This window comes from Homo sapiens, chromosome 5 (assembly GCF_000001405.40).
Source record: "Homo sapiens chromosome 5, GRCh38.p14 Primary Assembly".
NCBI classification, from domain to species: Eukaryota; Metazoa; Chordata; class Mammalia; order Primates; family Hominidae; genus Homo; species Homo sapiens.
In genome coordinates this window covers 101,829,824-101,855,684 of record NC_000005.10, presented here as the reverse complement: position 1 = coordinate 101,855,684, position 25,861 = coordinate 101,829,824, and the positions used below count along the sequence as shown (strand labels likewise).

Sequence of the window (25,861 nt, the reverse complement as noted above, 5' to 3'; positions counted from 1 at the left end):
TTAGTTTGTGACATGCTAGACTGTACTGCTTAAATGGCATATTCTTCCTAAAGATATGTAAATGTCATGGTTGTGTATTCTCACTTACAAAGCAAACAATAAAGGACTATCTGATAAATACTGGGATATAAGAAGACAACTTTTGGATCTACTTTTCAAAATTGACAAGTGTAATAATAAAATACCCTCTTATAAAATGATGAAAGAAACAATAGGGAGACAATGTTTCTTGATTTCCTCAAATAGAGAAGGCAAAATTCAATAATTCTATATTGCTTAGTAATTTCATATTCCTTGTCTAGCAAACATTAAATTTAGAGTAATGCACAACAAGAGTCAATACATGATTTATCAAGGTGTTTTGGATACAACAGAAATTTCTTTTTTTTAAATTTTTTTATTTTTTATTTATTTATTTTATTATACTTTAAGTTCTGGGATACGTGTGCAGAATGTGCAGGCTTGTTACATCAGTATACACGTGCCATGGTGGTTTGCTGCACTCATCAACCCATCATCTACATTAGATATTTCTCCTGATGCTATCCCTCCCCTAGCCCCCACCCCCCGACAGGCCCCAGTGTGTGATGTTCCCTTCCCTGTGTCCATGTGTTCTCATTGTTCAACTCCCACTTATGAGTGAGAACATGCGGTGTTTGGTTTTCTGTTCCTGTGTTAGTTTGCTGAGAATGATCGTTTCCAGCTTCATCCATGTCCCTACAAAGGACATGAACTCATCCTTTTTTATGGTTTCATAGTATTCCATGGTGTATATGTGCCACATTTTCTTTATCCAGTCTATCACTGATGGGCATTTGGGTTGGTTCCAAGTCTTTGCTATTGTGAACAGTGCTGCAATAAACATACATGTGCATGTGTCTTTATAGTCGAATGATTTATAATCCTTTGGGTATATACCCAGTAATGGGATTGCTGGGTCAAATGGTATTTCTAGTTCTAGATCCTTAAGGAATCGCCACACTGTCTTCCACAACGGTGGAACTAATTAACACTCCTACCAACAGTGTAAAAGCGTTCCTGTTTTTCCACATCCTCTCCAGCATCTGTTGTTTCCTGACGTTTTAATGATCGCCATTCTAATTAACATGAGATGGTATCTCATTGTGGTTTTGATTTGCATTTCTCTAATGACCAATGATGATGGTTTTTTTTCATATGTTTGTTGGCCGCATAAATGTCTTCTTTTGAGAAGTGTCTGTTCATATTCTTTGCCCACTTTTTGATGGGGTTGTTTTTTGCTTGTAAATTTGTTTAAGTTCCTTGTAGATTCTAGATATTAGACCTTTGTCTGATGGATAGATTCCAAAAATTTTCTCCCATTCCATAGGGTGCCTTGGATACAACAGAAATTTCAACCAGAGGTTTTCTGTAAAGAAAACGAAAAGGACACCATGTGTGTTGTGATCTTTGTGTCAGAAGACCCATGGAGCATGCTTCCTACAGTGTGCTGATGCTGAACAGCCAGTATGATTTGGTTTCTGCTTCTCATGCATCGAGACAGGAAGAGTTGGTCCTGTGAAGAAACCTGTGGTGAGGAAGGTGAATGCCTGACTTGATCTCATTTTTTCCATTGTAGAAACCACAAGTCCAGGGTATCTTTTCAACATGTTTTCTGCCAGTTTGGAAAAGGGTTGTTGTGGATACAGAGATCTGTTTCTCTTACTGTGGATACAGAGATCTGTTTCTCTTACTTCTGCTTGCAGTTTTTTTACTTCCCCTTGGCCCCAAGGATCATAACTGTCTCCGTTTTGAGTTCCGGGATATTCCTTGGGATAAGGATGGCACCGAATAGTTGTTTTTGGTTTTCTGAAGGGAAAGGTGGGCCAGATGACTTCTACTCTGCCATTTTGGTGATGCCACTTTCTTGACTGATTTTTTATGCTGATTTAGTATCTTACAACTTTGCTTTTTTTAGTAGTTCTTTTTCCTGGTGGAGTCTTTATATTTTTTAAAATATATAAATTGTGTCATCAACAAGCAGAACTTGTTTCTACTTTCAAATTTAGATGACTTTTATTTCTTTTTCTTGGTAATTTCTTTGGTTAGGACTTCTGGTACTATGGGAAATAGAAGTGTTTGGAGTGGGCACCCTTGTCTGTTCCTGGTCTTGGAGAACAAACTTTCAGTTTTTCACTATTTTGAATGATGTTAGCTGTGGGCTTGTCATACTTGGCTTTTATTACTTTGAGGTAAATTTCTTCTATACCTAGTTTATAGAAAGTTTTATTATGGCCAATATGTTAATTTTTTTCAAATATTTTTCTGCATCTATAGAGGCAATCACATGATTTATTATTTTACATTCTGTTAATGCGGTGTATCGTTTTGTTTGGGTTGAACATGTTAAAACATCTTGCATGTCAAGGATAAATCCTTCTTGGTGTTGGTGTATGAGCTTATTAAAATGCTATTGTATTTGGTTTGCTAGTATTTTATTGAAGATTTTGCTTCCATATGTATCAAGAAAATTGGCTTATAGTTATTTTTGTTTTGTTTTGTTTTTTGTACTGGTCTTATCTGGTTTTAGTATCTGGGTAGTGCTGGCCTCACAGATGAGTTTGGAAGTGTCACATTCTGTTCAGGCTGCCCTGACAAAATGTCCTAGACTGAATGACTTATAAATAATAGAAATTTATTTCTCAAAGATCTTGAACTTCGAGGTCCAAGATCAAGGTATGAGCAGTTTAGGTGTCTGGTGAGGGCCTTCTTTTTAAATAGATTTCTTCTTGTCTCTTCTGAAAATTTTTGACTTAATAGCTGCTTTGTCTAATATAAGGATAGCCAACCCTGCTTTCTTGGTTACCATTTTCATGGACTATATTTTTGTATCGTGTCATTATCAGGCTATGTGTGTCCTCAGATCTAAAGTAAGTTTTAGTAGACAGCATATAGTTGTATCTTTTTCTTAAAATCCATCTAGCCAATCAACGCCTTTTTTTTTTTTTTTTTTTTGAGATGGAGTCTTGCTCTGTCGCCCAGGCTGGAGTGCAGTGGTGCGATCTCGGCTCACTGCAACCTCTGCCTCCTGGGTTCAAACTATTCTCCTGCCTCAGCCTCCTGAGTAGCTGGGACTACAGGCGTGTGCCACCATGCACAGCTAATCTTTTGTGTTTTTAGTAGAGACGGGGTTTCACCATGTTAGCCAGGATGGTCTAGATCTCCTGACTTCGTGATCCGCCCTCCTCGGCCTCCCAAAGTGCTGGGATCACAGGCATGAACCACTGCACCTGGCCCAATCTATGTCTTTTGATTCAACAAATGTTTAAGAAATTACATTTATAGCAATTATTTATATGGAGAAACGTCCTTTTCCCACTTTGTTAATTGTCAGTTTTCTAGTTCTTTTGTCCTGCTTTTTCTCTCTTGTTGACTTCCTTTGTGATTCATTGATTTTTTTTGCAGTGATATGCCTTCAATCATTTTTGTTTTCTTTGTGTATTTTTGTAGATATTTTCACCATGAAACTTACATAAAATATATTTTAGCTATAGTAGTCTATTTTAAGCTAATAACAGGTTAACTTCAATCTCATACAAAAATGCTACTCTTGTATTTTCCCTTTACACTTTGTTATTACTGTCACAATTTACATCCTTTCATAGTGTATGCATTAACATATATTTGTTAGTACAGTTATTCCAAATACTTTTGTTTTTCAACTCTGTATCATAATTAAGTGATTTATACTACCATTTTAGTATTACTGTATTCTGTATTTGTTTATATTTACTTGTGAGTTTTGTACTTCATATACATTTGTGTTGCATTCTTTTGTTTCAACTTGAAGGACGTCCTTTCAAAATTTTTTGAGACAAGTCTAGTGTTGATAAACTTCCGTAGTCTTTGTCTGGGAAAGTGTTTATCTCTCTTTCATTTTGAGAGACAGTTTTCCCTTATGTGGTATTTTTGTTTTTTTGTTTTTCTTTTAGCATTTTGAATATATTATACCACTTCCTTCTGACCTGCAAGATATCTGCTGAGAAATCTGATAGTCTTATGGAGGCTTCCTTATACATGACAAATATTTTTCTCTTGCTGCTTTCAAAATTCTTTTTATCTTTGACTTTTGACAATTTCAGTTTAGTGTTTTTAGTGTAGACTTATTTGGGTTTAACCTACTTCAGGGCTGTTGGGCTTTATGAGTCTGGATGCCCATTTCAGATTCCTTAGGTTTGGAGTTTTCAAAAATATTTTTTAAAAAATCAGCATTCTGTTTTGTGTGTGTGTGTTTAAAACATGTATTCTCGTTAAAGGACTCCTATGATGCATACACTGTTCCACTTGATGGTGTACCAAAAGTCCTTTAGGTTTTCTTTACTCTTTTATTTATTTATTTTCCTCATCTGACTAGATAATTTCTAATAACCTATTTTCTTAGTTCACTGATTCTTTCTCAAGTCAGATTATGTTTTAGTCCATCTTCTGCTGCTTATAACAGAATATCCCAAACTGGGCAATTTATAAAGAAAAGAAATTTCTTTCTTATAGTTACAGAACCTGAGAAGTGCAAGACTGAGGGGCTGCATTTGGTGAAAGCCTTCTTTGCTCATGGGAACTCTTTGCAGAGCATCAGGGTGGCATATCACATCACATGGTGAAGTAGTTGAGTATGCTAGTTAAGGTCTCTCTTTCTCTTCTTAAAAAAAGCATCATTGGACAGATCTTCCAGACCAAAAAAAAAAAAAATCAACAAAGAGACATCCAGTGTAATCTGCGCTGTAGACCAAATGGATCTAATTAATATTCACACAATATTTTATCCAATGACTGCAGAATATACATTATTTTCCTCAGCACATGAATTACTCTCAAGGATAGAACATGTGTTAGGTCATAAAACAAGTCTTAAAACATTCAAAACAATTGCAATAATACCAAGCATATTCTCTGACCACAATGGAATAAAATAAATTAATAAGAGGAATTTTAGAAACTATACTAATATATGGAAATTATATACAATATGCTTCTGAATGACCTGTGAGTCAATGAATAAATTAAGAATAAAATTGAAAAATTTCTTGAAAGAAAGGATAATGGAAACACGGTACACTAAAACCTGTGGGATACAGCAAAAAAAGAGTACTAAGAGTGAAGTTTATAGCTGTAAGTGTCTGCATCAAAAAAGAAGAAAATTTTCAAATAAACAATCCAATGCATCTTAAATACAGCAAACCAAACCCAAATTAGTAGAAGAGGAGGAATAATAAAGATCAGGGCAGAAATAAATGAGATTGAAGAAAACAATATGAAAGATCAATAAAAAAAAAGTTGACTTCTGAAGAGTTAAAAAAAAGATAAACCTTTAGCCAGACTAAGAAAAAAGAGGCAAGACCCAAATAAATAAAATCAGAAATGAAAAATGAGACATTACAATTGATACTGCAGAAATTCAAAGGATCATTAGTTGGTACTATGATCAACTATATGCCAATACATTGGAAAATCTAGAAGAAATGGACAAATTCCTAGACACATACAACTTGACAAGATTGAACCATGAAGACATCCAAAACTTGATCAGACCAATAACAAGTAATGACATTGAAGCTGTAATAAAAAGTGTCCCAGTAAAGAATAGCCTGGGATCTGATGGCTTCACTTCTGAATTCTATCAAACATTTAAAGAAGAACTCATACCAACTCTACTCAAAATGTTCTGAAAAATAGAGGAGGAGGGAATAATTTAAACACATTCTACCAGGTAAGTATTACCCTGATATCAAAACCAGTCAAAGACACATCAAAAGAAGAAAACTACAGGCCAATATCTGATGAATATTGATGCAAAAATACTCAACAAATTACTAGCAAACTAAATTCAACAATATATTATAAAGATCATTCATCATGACTAGGTGGGATTTATGCCTAAGAGGCAAAGATAGTTCAACATATGCAAATTAATCAATGTCATGCATCACATCAACAGAAGGAAAGATAAAAACCACATGGTCATTTCAACTGATGCTGAAAAATCATTTGATAAAATTCAACATCACTTCATTGCAAAAACCCTAAAACAATTAGAGGTAGAAGGAACAAACCTCAGCATAATAAAAGCTATATACAATAGACCCATGGCTAGTATCATATTGAATGGAGAAAAACTAAAGTATTTTTCCTAAGATCTGGAACATGACAAGGATGCCCACTGTCAACATAGTACTGGATGTCCTAGCTAGACTAATCAGACCAAAGAAAGATATAAATAAAGATATAAAGATACAAAAGAAAGATATAACGGGCATCCAAATTGGAATGGAAGAAGTCAAATATCCTTCTTTGCAGATGATATGATCTTATATTTGGAAAAACCTAAAGGCTTCACACACACACACACAAACTATTAGAGCTGATAAACAAATTCAGTAAAGTTGCAGAATACAAACTCAACATACAAAATTAACCGTGAATAATCTGAAACAGAAATTAAAAAAATCCCATCTACAATAGCCACATATAAAATTAAATACCTGGAAATTAACTTAACCAAAGAAGTGAAAGACATCTATAATGAAAACTATAAAACCTTGATGAAAGAAATTGAAGAGAACATCAAAAAATGGAAAAAGGTTTCATGTTCATGGAGTGAAAGAATCAATATTGTCAAAATGTCCATACTACACAAAGCAATCTACAGAGTCAATGCAATCTCTGTCAAAATACCAATGACATTCTTCACAGAAATAGAAAATAAATCCTAAAATTTATATGAAACTACAAAAGTCTCAGCATTGCCAAAGCTATCCTAAGTAAAAGGAGCAATACTGGAGGAATTACATTCCATTATTTCAAATTATACTACAGAGTTATAGTAACCAAAACAGCATCATAGTGGCATAAAAACAGACACAGACCAATGGTTCAGAATAGAGAACTCACAAACATCCATACACCTACAGTGAACTCTCGACAAAAGTGCCAAGAACATACACTGGTGTAAAACCAGTCTTTTCAATAAATGTTGCTGATAAAACTGGTTATCTATATGCAGAAGAGTGAAACTGAACCCCTATCTCTTGCCACATATAAAAATCAAACCAAAATGTGTTAAAGGCTTAAGTCTAAGTCCTCAAACTACAAAACTACTACAAGAAAACATTAGGAAAATCTCCAGGACATTAGTCTAGGCAAAATTTTATTGAGTAATATCCCATAAGCACAGACAACCAAAGCAAAAATGGACAAATGGGATCATATCAAGTTAAAAGGCTTCTGCACAGCAAAGGAAAGTCAACAAAGTAAAGAGACTACTCCCAGAATGGGAGAAAATATTTGCAAATTACCCCTCTGACAAGGGATTAATAACTAGAGTATATTAGGAACTCAAACAACTCTATAGGAAAAAAATCTAAGAAACCGATCAAAAAGTGAGCCAAAGATTTGAATAGATATTTCTCAAAAGAAGACATACAAATACCAAGTAGACATATTAAAAACTGCTCAACATCACTGATCATCAGAGAAATGCAAATCAAAGCTACAGTGGGTTATTATCTCACCCCAGTTAAAATGGTTTTTATCCAAAAGACAGGCAATAACAAATTCTGGGGAGGATGTGGAGAAAAGGGAACACTTGTATGCTGCTGGTGGGAATGCAAATTAGTACAACCACAATGCAGAACAGTTTGGAGGTTCCTCAGAAAACTAAAAATAGAGCTACTCTATGATCCAGCAATCCCACTGCTGGGTATATATCTAAAAGAAAGAAAATCAATGTTTCAAAGAGCTATCTGCACTCCCATGTTTGTTGTAGCACTGTTCACAATAGCTAAGATTTTGAAGCAACTTAAGTATCCATTAACAGATGGATGGATAAAGAAAATATGATACCTATATATGATGGAGTACTAGTCAGCTTTAAAATAGAATGATAGTCTGTTATTTGCAACCACGTGGATGAAACTGGAGATCATTATGTCAAGTGAAGTAAGTAGGGCACAGAAAGACAAACATCACATGTTCTCATTTATTTGTGGGATCTAAAAACCAAAACGATTAAGCTCATATAGATAGAGAGTAGAAGGATGGTTACCAGAGGCTGAGAAGGGTAGTGGGGTGGTAGAAAGGAAGTAGGATGGTTAATGGGTAAAAAATAATAGAAGAATAAGCCCTAGTATTTGATAGCACAACAGGGTGACTATGGTCAATCATAATTTAATTGTATATTTAAAAAAAACTAAAAGAATACAGTTGGATTGTTTCTAACACAAAAACGATAAATGCTTAAGGAGATGGATACCCCATTCTCCATGATGTCATTTTTTTGCATTGCATGCCTTTATCAAAATAGCTCATGTATCCTACAGATATATATACCTACTCTATACCCATAAAAATTAAAAATTAAAAAAGGCACCAGAGCCACACTAATCACAGCTATTAATCTATTAACTTATTAATTCTTAATTCATTAAACCATGAATAGACTAATCCATTCTTGAGGGCTCTGCCCTCATGATCCAATTACTTCTTAAAGGTCCTACATGTCAAATCTCTTAAGTATGGTAGGCCTAGGTTTCTGGCTGGCAATCAGGTGGGTTTAATTAGATCAGTTATTTCCTGGTTGGCACAAAATAATCACCAACAGTAATATTGCATTTGTAATTTTTTTTAAAGTTTTATTCTTAATTTCTTGTAAACATTCAGTGCACTGAGGATATATCATTTCTTAAGAAAGCCCTGCATCTTGCATTGGTAATCTCTTAAATAATGTGAAAACACAAATAAATTATTAAGCTGCAGGCATCTTAGATCATTTCTCATACTTTTTATATTTTCTCACCCTAAAAGCAGGCTAACTAAATGTAAGTAATAATATGCTGGACCAGTAGAAATGCATGTGGGAGAATTTGTGTTATGGCAAGATACTGTAATTAATGGCAGGAGGCTTCCTTACACTCTCCAATCATTCTTTCATTATTCATTTATTATACAAACATTCACTGAGGGCTGCTTTGTGCACAAAGGCATGCTGACAGCTTCATGAATTTGCTGTAGCCAAGGAGCCTTGGGAGTACAGCTGATCAAGCAGAGGATGCAATAATGTCCTAAATGGAGTGGAAGTTAAGAACAAAATGATCAAAAGAATTCTGGTCAATTGGCTAAGTCTTGTGGTTCCCTTGAGCAAGGCTGTTCTGTCTAGAAACCAGTAGTGTCCTTCTTCATCTTTGGAGACATCCTCTTATATCCATTTTTTCAGACAGAGATGTCTCTATTATTTAGGAGGTGAAAATTCATTACACAGTCACTTTATATTAGAATGTTGTCATCTATGTTTGTATGGGATGGGTGTGTGGATTTTTTTGGAGGTAGGGGAAAAATTGTCATCTCTGTAAAATAGCTATCATTAAAAATAGGGACAATATGTAAAGAGAACAGTACTGGTAGCCATTAGGGAAAATAGAACAGAGAGGAGCTATGAACCAAGCTCATTTATTTCAAACAAACGTGTTTTAAAAATAAAAAAATATGTATTTCCACGTTAGGGATTACATTTTAACATGAATTTTAGAGTGGATGAAAATTCCAACCATCACAAGCAGTGACTCCCTCTAGTAAATTTTTAATTCTGTTTTTATATTCTTTAGCTTCATAATTTTTGTTTTTTTAAGTTTTATCTCTTTGTTGATATTCTCATTTTCTTTATGAATTGTTTTTGTGATTCCATTTTGTTTTTTCTCTGTGTTCTCTTGTAGCTCACTGAGCTTCTTTAAGATGATTATGTTTAAACCCTTTCAGGTAATTCATTTTTTAATTTGATTTATTTTGTTCTTTTGATAGGCTAACACTTCTCTTATTTTTTATATTTCTTATCTGTGCATTGGTAACCATTTATTTGAAGAAACAGCCAGCCACCACAGTCATTACAGACTGACTTCTACAGTGAAGAACTTTCCCCAGTCAGTCTGGCTAGAGATTCTTGGAGCACTGCAAATCTTTTCTATGGATATGCCTTCTTTAGACTGTGCATGTAGTTTTCTTTCTTTTAAAAAAAATAATTAGTACAATTTACTTTTAAAAAAAAGTCCTATAATCTTTTCCTCTCTCTGGTGTGTGGCTGCTGTACCACGGATTATAACTGGAGAGACACTCTTTTCCCTCACTTTCTGGGGTGAAGCCTCAAGTTCTGTTTTTTTCCCAATCTCATCAAGCCATGCAGCCTTCAGCAAGTCATTTGTCCCTTTACTTTGTTCTAACCTACTCTCCAGTGTTAAAACGACACAGTTTCCATCAGTACTCTGTATGGAATGAAACTGGTTTTTCGGGCAGCGCTCTGAGAGGCCAGAGAACTTGGACACATGCTCTACTCTCTCTATTCCCTCAAGTGAAAAGTTGCATGTCTAGGTGATCTTTCTCAGTGCTGAGCTGCACTGGTTTAGGAGAGCAGCTAATGCAGGTATAGTTAGATTGCTCTTCTTATCCATTTCAATGTGGCCGTTCTCAGTTTTGTACTTATGTACAGCACTGCAACTTCTTCAATGAATATGCACATCTCATACAGATATCTTGGTTCATTTATCATTGTTAAATCTGTGTTTCTGTGGAGAAACAAGGGTGGGACTTTCTATTTTGCTGTCTTTCTGACATCACTCCCTGGGATCAATATAAAGTGTTTTAAATATAGCTTATTTTGACTCTTTCTGATTAAAATGTAAATCAGATAGATTAATAAAAAACACACAGAGAAAAAAAATAGACCTGTTGCAGCCCAAAAAGAGCAGATTTATCAGGCCAAGTACCTAAAATATGCCTTCGGTGGTTCTGTTTTCTTGTTAGCCATTACACTCTGAGGCAACATCATGATGCCAAATAGTGACAGTGAGAAGCCTCGCAATTCTGATCAATTTTCTATCTCAGACTTCATGCTCACTTCTCCTAAGTGGAAGGGCTTGTCTTTTCCATGTCCACCCAAACATCATTAATAACCACAAGTCAAGGGTTCTCCTAGTTAATTCTAAATCCAAGTTGTGCTAGTATGCTAAAAGGATTTACACATCCATCCTCCTGGGAAGCATGTGTGGTTATTAATACCAGTTTTATATAGGTTATGACACTACATCTGTGTTACAATTATTTATAGTAATGGTGACAAATGCAGGTCAGGTAAATAAAAAGATAATACATTTAATGATTGGGAAATCAATGGCTTTACTCAATACATATTGACAATTCTTAAATCTAAATGTATAGTTTACAAGTCTGTAAGCCAATAAGTTAAATACCTAATTACATACCCAATATCTTCACTTGGAGGTCACAATGGCACTTCAAATTGTGCATCTATACTCATGGATTCTGTTTTCACCCTCTGATCTTAATACACTATTCTACTGGCCACTGCTCTACCCTGATAAGAAACTGAAATTCTTGTTTCGCTCACACCTGCTCCTAAACAAATTATTTACATTATTAAGGAAATACTCTTCAAAAAAAAACTTCTTACAAATACAGAGTTCACTCTATTTTCAATGGCATTTTTTTCTTTATTTTTGAACAGGTTTCTTGAGGTAACATTTACTTTGGTGAATAAACCTTATTTTTTAGCAGATCATTGTATGGGTTTTAAATTCACATGCACTTGTGTTGCTAAAACCAAAATTAATATGTAAAACAGTTTCATTATCCCTCAGAATGCTGTCATGTGCCTTTGTACTCAAATCAACAACCCTCAGTCATGGGCACCATTTTGTTTATTTCTTATCCCTATACTTTTGACTTTTCTGGAATGTCATATAAGTAGAATTATTCAAAATATAAATGATTGTGACCTCTTTCACTCGGAATAATACACCTGAGATCCATCCATGTGATTGTAGAAATCAATAATTTGTTCCTTTTTTATTGCTAAGTAGTATTCCATTATATGGAAGTGTCACAAAGTTTGTGTCTATTCTTTTATGAAAAGGCATTTGAATTGTTTCCAGGTGTAATGGGCTGAATGTTTGTATCTTCTAAGAATTTGTGTTGAAACCCTGACCTCCAATGTGATGGCATTAAGGGATGAAGCCGTTGGGATATGATTAGATTATGAAGGTGACACTCTCATGAATGGCATTAGTGCCCTTGTAAGAGGGATCCCAGAATGATATCTCTCCTTTCTTCTGACATATTAGATACAGGAAACATGGCTTCACTAGACACAGAATCTTTTGGTGCATTGATCCTGGACTTTCCAGTCTCTAGAACTGTGAGAAATAGACCTTTGTTTAAGCCTCCCAGTCTATGGAATTCTGTTATGGCAGCCTAAATTTACTATGGCAAAAGGTTTGAACATTTAGGAATAAAACCACAATATATGTTTGTGTTTAAATTTTTGAGTGAACCTGAGTTTCCTTCCTTCCTTCCTTCGTTCTTTCTTTCCTTTCTTCCCCCCTTTCCTCCTTCCCTCCTTTCCTCCCTCCCTCCTTCCCTACTTCCCTCCTTTCCTCCTTTCTTCCTTTCTTTCTTTTTCTTTCTCTTTTTCTTTTTCTTTCTTTCTCTTTCTTACTTTCTTTTTCTCTTTCTTTCTTTCTTTCTTTCTTTCTTCTCTTTCTTTCTCTCTCTCTCTCTTTTTTTTTTTGACAGACTCTTGCTCTGTCACCCAGGCTGGAGTGCAGTGGCATGATCTTGGCTCACTGCAATCTCTGCCTCCTGGCTTCAAGCAATTCTCCTACTTCAGCCTCCTGAGTAGCCAGGAGGCGCCACCAAGCCCAACTAACTTTTGTACTTTTAGTAGAGACGGGGTTTCACCATGTTGTCCAGGCTGATCTCGAACTCCTAACCTCAAGTAATCTGCCCGCTTCCGCCTCTCAAAGTGCTGGGATTACAGGCATTATCCACAGTGCCCACCTGACTTTCCTTTCTGATCAATAAATTTCTATAATTGGGAAAACTTGGTCATACTGTAGATGTAAGTTTAACTTCGGGAGAATTTTTAAAATTCTTTTAGGAGTTATCTTTACAATTTTGCATTTTCAACAGCAATGCGTAAGTGTTTCAACTGTTCTACTTTCTTGCTAGATGCTGGTATTGTCAAATATATTTGCTTTCATCTATGCTAAGTGTGATAGTACTTTCTTATGCTTTGTAATTACATTTATTTTTCTAATGTAAAATGGGGTGCATATCTTTTTATGTGTGTTTTAGACATCTATAGATATATTCTTTGACAAAATACCTATTCAAATATTTTGCCTATGCTTTTGGTAAGTTTTTTTTGTTATGATTGAGTTTTGAGAAGTCATATATTCTATAGATACAAGTTATTTATCAGCTATGTACTTTGAAAATACATTATCCAAGAATTTGGCTTGTCTTTTTATTTTTTTAACAGTATGTTTTGAAAAGCAAAAGATTTAGTTTTAATGCTACCTATTTATCTATTTTTTAATAAATTGTATTATTGATGATATCTAAAAAAATTACCCAATGTGAAGTCACAAATATTTTGTCTTTTGTTTTCTTCCAGAAGTTTTAAAATCTTAGGGTTTCTATAAATGTATAATATCCTTCTTGAGTTTTAAAAACTTGTATGAAGTATGGGTCAAAGTTTTGTAAAAATTATTTTTATTTTTTGCATATGTGTATTCGAATGTTTTTGAAGAGTTGATCTTTTCTCTATCAAATTTTCTTTGTGCCTTAGAATAAAATAAAAGGACATATATCTTCTCTTTCTGTCTCTATGTGTGTGTGTTCATCTATTTCTTCACTGTCTTTTCTTAAACATAAATCTACATGTCTTTAATTTTGCCATTACTACATTGTCTGAACTGCTGTACACTTTATAATAAGTTTGGAAATCAGGTAGTTGAGTCTTCCAACTGTGTTGTTTCCTAAATTGTATTGGCTATTCCGGCTCATTTGCCTTTTTCATACATTTAGAATTAGCTTGTTCATTTCGATAACAATCTGTCTAAATATTTGGGAAGAAATACACGTCTTAAAATTACTAAGTCTTCTGACATACAAACACATTATATTGCTGCATTTATGTGGATCTTCTTTGACATCTTTCATCAGTATCTTGTATTTTAATCATATAGTAGTTGAACATATGTTGTTGGATTTATATTATTCTATAATTGTACTGCTATTATATATGATATGAGTTTGTTTCATTTTCAACTGTTTCTCACTAGGTTATATAAATATATTTTTGTATTCTAAGATTTTGTTGGATTCATTGAATAGTGCTATTAGCTTTTTATAGATTCCTTACAATTTTCACTACAATAATCATACCTTCTTTGAATTGAAAACTTTTTATTTCTTTCTCTATTTATTTTACTTACCTTACAGTGCTGGTAGGAAACCCAGTATCATGTCGAATAGAAATGGTGAGAGCAGACATCTTGTCTTTTTCCTAAACTTTGTGAGAAATAAGTGAGTTTAATCATTAAATTTAATCATTAAGTATAATGTTAGCTGTAGGTCCAGTGACTTTATCAGTGTGAAGAAGTTTTCTATCAATTCCTATTTTGACTTTTATTTCTCCTGTGCTCTACCACAGAGCACAGAGACCAGTGCTTATGTGTGCCCTCTTTTTGGAGGGACAAATTTTTTCATATATTTTATGCTACTTGGTTGCCCTGTAACTTCATTTATCTAGTGAATTTATTCAAACTATAACCTGGCGTATTTCTTCTTCTTGCATTGTGAGTGGTGTAATTTCCAACTTTCCATTTTAGATGAAGGCAGCATATGCTTCTTTTTCTTAGGTTAAAGTCCATATGTGCTTAACATGCTGCGTATTTTCAGTCCCTTTACTTTTCATGATTTCCACACATACATTCTTTGTTCATATTAAGATTACATAAATTTATTCCCAATGTCATTCTCTTGTGGCCCAAGAGTCTGAGCGCACTGTGATGTATGCCCAAAATATGACCCCATATTTCTATATAAAATTTACCAATGTCAATTATCCCTCACATCTAAGCATTTATCTCATTATTTTCTGGGAATCTTCCTTGACATTCAAAATTTGGATGTTGAATCTCTCTCCTTTTCTATAGTACTATAACATTATTTCTATACTCTTATAACTTAATAGTTCTCCCCCTCACTGGTTAGCACTGAAAACTAATAGATTTGTTAATCTTGGTCAATGTTTCAAAGCAGCCCTCTTCACAATAGCCAAAAGGTGGAAATAACCCAAATGTTCATCAGCTGATAAGTGGATAAATAAAATCTGATATATTCATACAATGGAATATTTTTCAGGACTAAAAAGAAATGAAGTACTAATACATCATACATCACAGATGTACCTTGGAAACATTATGCTAAGTGAGAGACACAAGAGGCCACATATTGTATGATTCAATATACATGGAATCAAAAACAGCAAATCATTCAATACAGAAAGCAGATTAGCGTTGCCAGAGAATGCAATAGGAGAAAATGGGAAGTGATTTCTTATTAGGCAAAGGGAATTCTTTTGGGGGTAATAAAAGAATTCTTAAACTAGATAGTGGTGATGATTGCAAAACTGTGAATGTAATTAATGCTAATAAACGTAATTTAAAATAGTTAAATGGTAAACTTTATATTATGTATATTTTATAACAATTAAATGTGATGATTCATATTATATATATAAATATATATAATATGAGTCTTTATATATGGCTTCACATATATATGTGAAGACACAACTTTTCCACTGGAACTCACATGCCCGATCTTTTTGAAATCTTGTTTGGATGGCATATGCTATAAAAGAAATTGGCTAATTTTTAGTTTCTACCACTGCTCTGTTAAAAACAGAGCATAAACTACAGAAATTAAATTCTGGTAAGCATCACAACTCAAACAACTTTATTAAAACTAAAGAACTATCTCTTTAAAATCTGCATTTTGACTTAAATTTTATTTCATCGTTTGGAATAAAAGTGCAATATGATATTTCTGTCCATATTTATGACACATGTACACATTAAAACAATGCTACATTATATATAATTGGAGATAGGCCGCATTTGATGTCAGTTTGTATATTGCTTCTATTCCCAGAAGAATGGAACAACCATAAATACTGGCTAATAGTCCCTACTTACACAAAAGTATTCACATATTATATGAACCAACCAAAGACAGGTTGTCGTAATAAATATCTTTCTTTGTCTTAGAATTTATGTAATCATTTCATTAACATTTTCTTAAGGACATTTTGCTGTTGCTATCTCCTGCACACTAATATACCACGATTTCTTTTTTCTAAAAGTTTTTTATGTTCATGATACAAGTTTAGGAAAAATTATTTAATAATTTTGCTTTTCTAAAAGACTTGACCTTTCTTCTCTGAGTTAAATTTCTACTTGATTGTGGCATTTTCATTTGATGTCAGCTACTTAGTTGATTTGATGAAGGCTCAAATGTATTTTGATATAATGGGGCACTTAGAAAAATGTTATTACCTTCTTAGATATTTAGTATTTCTTTTCAAAATGCAGATAGAAATATGTGTTAGCATTATCAAATGGTATATATTTTTCTAGGTGTTCTTAAGATAATATACTCAGATGTTAATCTTCTCTTTTCACATTCATAAACTAATAGCAAAAATGACCATTTAGCTTGTATTAGATGGAGTTCAAGGTCTATGTTTTAGATAGAAGAAGATTATACTTGGCTAAGGATACACCTTAGAATTCTTCAATGACTTCTAGAAAATGATAAAAAAGGTCAAATGTGAGAATCAGTGCTTTAAGATAATGACAAGCAAAGAGAAGTAGAATAAAGTATATATCACTTATTTTTATAGCTTAATAGGAAATATACATAAAATGAAACAAATTAATATTTAGTGGTGGAAACATGGTTTAATGAAAGAAAAGTAATAATCCATAGTTTAGCAGTTAACATCAGAAGCACGTTGGTGTGTGTGTGTGTGTGTGTGTGTTTGTGCACGCGCAGAGGACAGGGAGGGTCAGACACATGATCAAAATATTTTGGAACTTTGCCCTGCTCTGAAGTATTTTGGATTTGGATTAATTCATAAACATCCAGGCTAGAATTTCTTCTTTCTTTTCCTGGTCTTGAGCCTCTCTGCATTATCTTTCTTGTTTTTCCACACGTGTTTGCATTGAAGAAACTGACACAGATTTGGCATTTGTGGCTTTAAGTACTACTGAATTCTGAAATGAGGCCAAGAATGCTTAGAAACTCTGAGCTAATCAGTGTACTTAGTGCTGGAAGAATGTGGAGGAATTCGCTTCTCTATACTTCAAGATGGAGAACAAAAATAAACACAAAATCTTGTAAATTTGAAATTTCCTTCTCATTATACCCTATAACACAAAGTAGCAATCCATTTTAAACATCATTTTCAGGCAGATGCACTATTGCTGAAAAGTACATTTGAGTGAATATTTCTTTACTGTATATTTAGAACATGATGCGAATTTATATTCTGTGCAATACAGTTAGGGATTTTTAAAAAATGTAAGCCAGGGTAATCTTCATTAAATGTTATTTGTCTACAATAGAGAATACACATTTCTGAATTTCATATCCTGACAAACTAAGCTTCATAAATGAAGGAGAAATAAAGTGTTTCCCAGACAAGCAATTGCTAAGGGAATCCATCATCACCACACCAGCCCTACACTAGATACTAAAGGGGTTACTAAACATAGAAATGAAATAACAATACTTATCACTACAAAAGCACACACAAACATATAGCCCACAGACTCTATCAGCAACTACACAGTCAAGATGACAAAGCTTCTAGCTAACAAGATTATGACAGGAATGAAACCTCACATATCAACATTAACCTTAAACATACATGGCCTACCTGCTTCACTTAAAAGACGTAGAGCAAATTGGATAAGAAAACAAGACCCAACCTTCTGCTGTCTTCAAGAGACCCATCTCACATGTAATGACACCCATAGACTGAAAGTAAAGAGATGGATAAAGATCTATGATGCAAATAGAAAACAAAAAAGAGCCGGGTTCACTATTCTTATATTAAATAAAATAGGCTTTAAACCCACAGCAGTAAAAAAGAATAAAGATCGGCATTATGTAATGATAAAGGATTTAATTCAACAAGACTTACTTCTCTTAAATATATATGTACCTAACAATGCAGCACCCAGACTTTTAAAACAATTACTTCTAGATCTCAGAAAGGACTTTAATAGTCACATAACAATAGTCAGGAACTTCAACACCCCACTGGGAGAATTAGACAGTTTATTGAGGCAGAAAACTAACAAATTCTGGACATAAATTTGACACTTGACAACTTGGATCTAATAGATATCCACAGACTACTCCACCCAAAAAACAGAATATACATCTTTCTCATCTGCACATGGAACATACTCTGACCACATGCTCAATCAACACAAGTCACAATAAATTTTTAAAAACTTGAAAACATATCAAGAATCTTCTCAGGCCAGAGTGGAATAAAAATAGAAATCAATGCCAAGAGGAATTCTCAAAGCCACATGAATACATGGAAACTAAACAACTTGCTCCTGAATTACTTTTGGGTAAACAAGAAAATGAAAGCAGAATTAAAAAAATTCTTCGAAACAAATGAAAATACAGATACAACATGTCAAAACCTCTGGGACGCAGCAAAAACAGTTTTAAATGGGAAGGTTTGTAGTCCTAAGAGTCTACATTAAAAGGATAGAAATATCTCAAATTAACAACCTTAGCTCACAACTAAAGAAACTAGAAAAACAAGTACAAATGGAACCCACAGCTAGCAGAAGAAAAGAAATAATTAAAATCAGAGCAGAACTAAGTGAAATTGAGAAAAAAACAACAACAAAAAACAAAGGACTGACAAAATGAAAACTTGTCTTTTTGAAAAGATAAAAAGAGTGATAGACTGCTAGCTAGATTAACAAAAAAAGAGAAAAGATCAAGTACAATGAGAAATGACAAAGGAGACATCACAATTGCTCTCACAGAAATACAAAAGATTCTTAGATATTACTATGAGCATGTCTAGGTACACAGACTAGAAAATCTAGAGGATATTATGAATTCCTGGAAATACACAACCTCCTAAGATTGAATCAGGAAGAAGCAGAAATAATGAACAGACCAAGAGTGAGTAGTGAAATTCAGTAATAAAAACACCTATCAACCAAGACAAACCCTGGAGTAGATTGACTCACAGCTGAATTCTACAATATATATAAAAAACAGCTAGTGGCAATCCTATTGAAACTATTTCAAAAAATTGAGAAAAAGAGACTGTTCCCTAACTCATTTTATGAAACCAGTATCTGACACCAAAATCTGGCAAAGTCTCAAGATACAATATTAATGTACAAAAATTGGTAGCATTTCTACACACCAATAATAATCAGAGAGCAAAATTAAAATAATCTCATTAAAAATAAATTAAAATACCTAAGGTTACATCTAACCAAGAATGTAAAATACCTCTAAAAGGAGAACTACAAAACACTGCTGAAAAAAATCATAGATGACATAAATAAATGAAAAACATCCCATGCTCATTGAGTAGAAGAGACAATATCATTAAAATGTCCAAATTGCCCAAAGAAATTTACAGGTTCAGTGCTATTTCTATCAAATTACTAGTATAATTCACATAATTAGAAAAAACTATTCTAAAATTTATGTGGGAAGATAAAGGAACTCAAATAGCCAATGCAATCCTAAGCTAAAATAATAAATCTGGAGGTATCACATTATCCAACTTCAAACTATACTGTAAGAGTACAGCAACCAAAGCAGCATGGTACAAAAATAGACACGTATACCAATGGATCAAAATAGAGACCCCTGAAATAAAGCCACACACCTGCAGTCACTTGATATTTGACATAGTGGACAAAAATAAGAAATGTGGAAAGATACCCTATTCAATAAATGGTACTCAGAAAACTGGCTAATCTTATTAATAAGAATGAAACTGGACCCCGTACATTTCACCATATATAAAAATTAATTCAAGATGGATTTAAGACTTAAATACAATATCTAAAACTATAAAAATTCTAGTGGAAAATCTAGAAAATACTTTTCTGACATTGGCTTAGGAAGAAAATTTATGACTAAATTCTCAAAAGTAAATGCAACACAAAAAATTGACAACTGGACCTAATTAAACTAAAGAGCTTCTGCATACCAAAGTAAACTATCAACAAGGTAAGCAGACAACCCAGAGAATGGGAGAAAATATTTGCAAACTACCCATCTGACAGAGATCTAATATCTGGAATCTATAAAGAAAAACAGATCCAAAAATAAAAATAAATAACCCCGTTAAAGAGTGTTCAAAGGAAATGATCAAAAACTTTTTTTTTTTTTTTTTGACAGAGTTTCACTCTTGTCACCCAGGCTGGACTGGAATGGCCTGATCTTGGCTCACTGCAACCTCCACCTCCTGGGTTCAAGCGATTCTCCTGCCTCAGCCTCCCAAAGTATCTGGAATTACAGGCGCCTGCCATCATGCCCAGCTAACTTTTTTGTATTTTTAGTTGAGATGGGATTTCACCACATTGACTAGGCTGGTCTTGAACTCCTGACCTCAGGTGATCCACCCACCTTGGCCTCCCAAAGTGCTGGGATTACAGGCATGAGTAACCACACCCAGACGATCAGATACTTCTTGAAAAAAAAAAGACATACAAATGGCCAAGAGCATATCAAAAATGTTCCACATAATTGACCATTAGCGGAATGAAATAAAAACCACAATGAGATACAATCTCACAATGCTCAGAGTGGCTATTACTAAAAAATCAAAAAATAACAGATGTTGGCAAGGTTGTGAGGCAAAGAGAATGCTTATACACTGCTGTTCGTAATGCAAATCAGTTCAGTCACTTTGGAAAGCAATTCAAAGATTTCTCAAAGAATTAAAAGTAGAATTACCATTTAACCCAACAATCCCATTACTGGGTATATATACCAAAGAAAACAAAGCATTCTACCAAAAAGATACAAACACTTGTATATTTATTGCAGCACTATTCACAAGAAACAAAGACATTGAATCAACCCAAATGACCATCAACAGTGACTGGATAATGAAAATGTGGTACATATACAACATGGAATACTATTTAGCCATAAGAAAAAAATGAGATCATGTTATTTGCAGCTATATAGATGAAGCTGGAGGCCAATATTTTAAGCAAATTAATACAGAAACAGAAAACCAAATACCGTATGCTCACTTATAATTGGGAGCTCAACATTGTGTACATATGGACACAAATAAGGGAACAATAGACACCAGGGTCTACTTGCGGTTGGGGGATGGGATGACAGTGAGGATTGTTTGGAATCTGTGCTTATTTTCTGGGTGATTAAATAATCTGTACACCAGACCACCACAGCATGCAATTTAAGCATATAACAAACCTGCACATGTACCCCCACACATAAAATAAAAGTTGGGAGGAAAAAGAAAGCTGTGTTTACACTTTAATATAGTCTATTAATTGTGCAGTAGCATTACATTAAAAGCGTATGTCTTTTAATTTAAAATATAGCTTAAAAATGCTAACAATTATCCCAGCCTTCAGTCAGTCATAATCTTTTTGTTTGTAGAGGGTCTTGTCTTGATGTCGATGGTTGCTGACTGATTAGGACAGTGGTTACTGAAGACTGAGATGGCTGTGGCAATTTAAAAAAATAAGACAGCAATGAAGTGTGCTGGATGAATTCACTTTTATTTTCATGTACAATGTCTCTGTATCGTGCAATACTATTTCATACCATTTTACTCACAGTAAAACTTCTTTCAAAATTGGAGTAAACCCTCTCAAACCTGACACTGCTTTATCACCTAAGTTTATGTAACTTGTTGTCATTTTAACAGTGTTCACAGTACCTTCCCCTAAGGTTGCACCTCAAGGAACTGGAAGAACAAGAACAAACTAAACCCAAAGTTAGCAGAGGTAATAAATTAATAAAGATCAGAGCAGAAATAAATAAAATAGAGACTAGAAAAACAAGAGAAAAAATTAAAAAACAGAGAGTTGACTTTGTGAAAAAAAATTGAGAAACCTGTACTTGGACTAAGAACAGAAAAATAAGACTCAAAATAAAAAAGAAAAAAGGAGACTTACAACTAAAGCAACAGAAATACAAAGGGTCATGAGACTGTTATGAAAAAAATTACACCAACAAATTGGACAAACTAGAAGTAACAGGAAAATTTCTTTTTCCTAGATGCACGCACTCTACCAAGACTCAATTATGAAGAAATAGAAAACCTTAACACCAATAATAGGAAAATTGAGTGAATAATAAAAAGTCTCCCACCAAAGAAAAGCCCAGGATCTGATGGCTTCCCTGCCGAACTCTATCAAATATTTAAATAATGAGGGCCAATTCTCAGATTCTTCCAAAATGTGGAAGAGGAGGGAACTCTTTCAACCTCGTTTTACAAAGCCAGCATCATCCCAATACCAAATTTGCCAATATCAAAGCCAGATAAAGACATACAGAAAAAAAAATACAGGACAATATGCCTGATAAATGAACATTGGTGCAAAAATTCTCAACAAAATACTAGCAAACTAAATCCAAAAGCACATTTAAATGATCATTCTCCATGATCAAATTGGTTTCATTCCAAGAATGCAAGAATGGATCAACAAATGTAAATCAATAAATATAATATATCACATTACCAGAATGAAGAACAAAACCACATGATCACTTCAATAAGTGCAGAAAATTGTTCAACACAATTTAAAATCATTTTATAATAAAAACCTCTTAATAATTAGGCGTGGAATGTATCTTAACACAATACATGCTATATATGACAAGCCCACAACTAACACCTTAGTCAACTGTGAAAAGGTGAAAGCTTTTTTCTAAGATTCAGAAAAGGACACAACATGGTACTGGAAGTCCTAACCAGAGCAATTAGGCAAGAGAAAGAAATAAAAAAGCATCCAAATTGAAAAGAAAGAAGCTAAATTGTTCCTCTTTGCAGACAAGATGATCTTATACACAGAAAACTCTAAAGGATCCACCAAAAAACTGTTAAAAATAATTAATGAATTCAGTAAATTTGAAAAATACAAAATAAACATGAAAAAATTGTTTTTCTATACACTAAAATCAAGCAACCTAAAAAAATTAAAAAATAATTTTATTTATAATAGCTACAAAAATAAAATAGGAATAAATTTAACTTAAGAGGTAAAAGATATCTACACTAAAAGTAGGGAACATTGATGAAAGAAATTACTAGTCATTAGAGAAATGCAAATCAAAACCACAGTGAGATACCATCTCACACCAGTTAGAATGATGATAATTAAAGTCAGGAAACAACAGATGCTGGCAAGGATGTGGAGAAATAGGAACACTTTTACACTGTTGGTGGGAGTGTAAATTAGTTCAACCATTGTGGAAGACAGTGTGGTGATTCCTCAAGGATCTACAACCAGAAATAACGATTTAACCCAACAATCCCATTACTGAGTATATACGCAAAGGATTATAATTCATTCTACTATAAAGACACATGCACATGTACGTTTATTGCAGCACTATTTACAATAGCAGAGACTTGGAACCAACTCGAATGCCCATCAATAATAGACTGGATAAAGAAAATGTGGCACATATACACCATGGACTACTATGCAGCCATAAAAAGGATAAATTCACGTCCTTTGTAGGGACATGGAAGAAGCCGGAAGCCATCATGTTCAGCAAACTAACACAGGAGCAGAAAACCAAACACCACATTTTCTCACTCATAAGTGAGAGTTAAACAATGAGAAAACATGGACACAGGGAGGGGAAAATCACACACCGGGGCCTTTTAGTGGGTGGGAGGCAAGGGGAGGGAGAGCATTAGAACAAATACCTAATGCATACAGGGCTTAAAACCTAGATGACCAGTTGGTAGGTGCAGCAAACCACCATGGCACATGTATACCTGTGTAACAAAGCTTCATGTTCTGCACATGTATCCCAGAACTCAAAGTAAAATTAAAAAAAAAAAAGCAAACTAAAAAAAAAAGGAGACACAAATAAATTTTAAGAAATTTATGCTAATGGATTAGAAGAATTAATATTGTAACAATGTTCATATTAGCCAATGTGACCTATAGCTTTAACACAATCCCTATCCAAATAACAATAACATTCTTCACAGAAATAGAAAAAAAAAATCCTAAAATTCGCATAGAATCACAAAAGATCCTAAAGCCAAAGCAATATTGAGCAAAAAGGACAAAACTGGAGGCATCACATTACCTGACTTTGAAACATACTACAAAGTTACAGTAACCAAAACAGCATGGTACTGTCATTAAAAACAGACATATACACCAATGGAACAGAGTAGAGCTCAGAAATGAACCCAAACATGTACAGTCAACTGATCTTTGGCTAAAATGCCAAAAACACACTTTCATGTTTATTATAGAATTATTCACAATAGCTAAGATATGGAATAAACCTAATTGTCCACCCACAGGTGAGTGGATAAGAATAATGTAGTATTCATACAAAATGAAATACTATTCAGTCATAAAAAAGAATCAAACCCTGTTATTTGTGACAGCATGAATGAACCTGCAGGACATAATGTTAAGTGACATAGGCAGGCACAGAAAGACAAATCCCTCATAATCTCACATATATGGAATCGAAAATGTTTGATTTCTTAGAAGTAGATCATACAATGGTGGTTACTAGGAGCTGGGGTTGTTGGGGTGGTGGTTGAGCAGATGTTTGTTAAAGAATACAAAACTGTAGTTAGATAGAAGGAATAACTATATCTATTGTACTAAATAGTGACTATAGTTAATATATTGCATTCTTGAAAAATGCTAACAGGATGGATCTAAAGTGTTTTCACCACAAAGATGAAAATTATGTGAGGTAATGCATATGTTAATTAGCTGGATTTAATCATTTTACAACATATATACTTCAGAACATCACATATAATCTTATCTGTCAATTTAAAATAAAATACCAAAAAGAAATTATTTTTGTTTAAAATAGCATCAAAATAGCATACTTAGAAATTATTTAACAAGAGAAATGAAAGACTTCTATGCTGAAAACTGTAATTTATTGTTGAGCAAAGAATGAATAAATAAATAAATGAAGATTTACATAAAATAGGAGACAATGCATATACTTGAATTAGAAGACTCAATATTGTCAAGATTTTTCTCATTCCCAAATTGATCAATAGAGTCACACAATTCCTTTTAAATAACTAGCAGTGTTTTTATTTTGCAGAAATTGATAACCTAACATAAAATGAATACAGAAATTTAAATGATTTAGAATAGCCAAAACAATTTTGATAAAAGGGAATGAAATTGAAGGACTTAATCCAATTTCAAAACTTACAATAAAGCTATAGTAATCAATCAAAGAGAGTGTTTTTAGCACTAAAACAGGCTTATAGATCAATATAACATTTTAACATTGGTGCCAAAACAATTTAAGGACAAAATGACACTTTTTTTCAGCAAATAAATTGAACAGTCACATTAAAAAATCTGAGATCCATACTGAAAATTAACCAAAAATGAATCATAGACCTCAATTTAATAGTTAACACTATAAATCTTCTAGATTGCAACATAACAATAAAGCATTATGATGTAGGATTGGAAAATGAGATAAATACAACATTAAAAGCCCAATTCATTGATAAGGTGTAATAAAAATTGAAAACTTTTGCACTTTAACAAAACAAATTTAAGAAAATAAAGCAGTTGCAGATAGGAACAAATGCTTGTGAATCATATATCTGATCAAAAACTTTTATTTAGAATATTTCAAGTTTTTATCCAGTTAAAACTCAATAATAAGGCAAACAACCCAATTAAAATTTGAGTACAAGATT

At 33.5% G+C, this 25,861-nt stretch overlaps 1 long non-coding RNA gene across 2 annotated transcripts in view; it reads left to right on the top strand.

Moving 5' to 3' along the window:
* Nucleotides 1-1,349: 1,349 nt before the first annotated feature.
* The window catches only part of LOC105379102 (uncharacterized), a 328,753-nt gene continuing 304,241 nt past the window's right edge, over nt 1,350-25,861 (top strand). For both annotated transcript variants that reach the window (XR_007058891.1, XR_948628.3), the window contains exon 1: nt 1,350-1,560. This is a non-coding gene — a long non-coding RNA (uncharacterized LOC105379102). The remainder of the gene's footprint in view (nt 1,561-25,861) is intronic.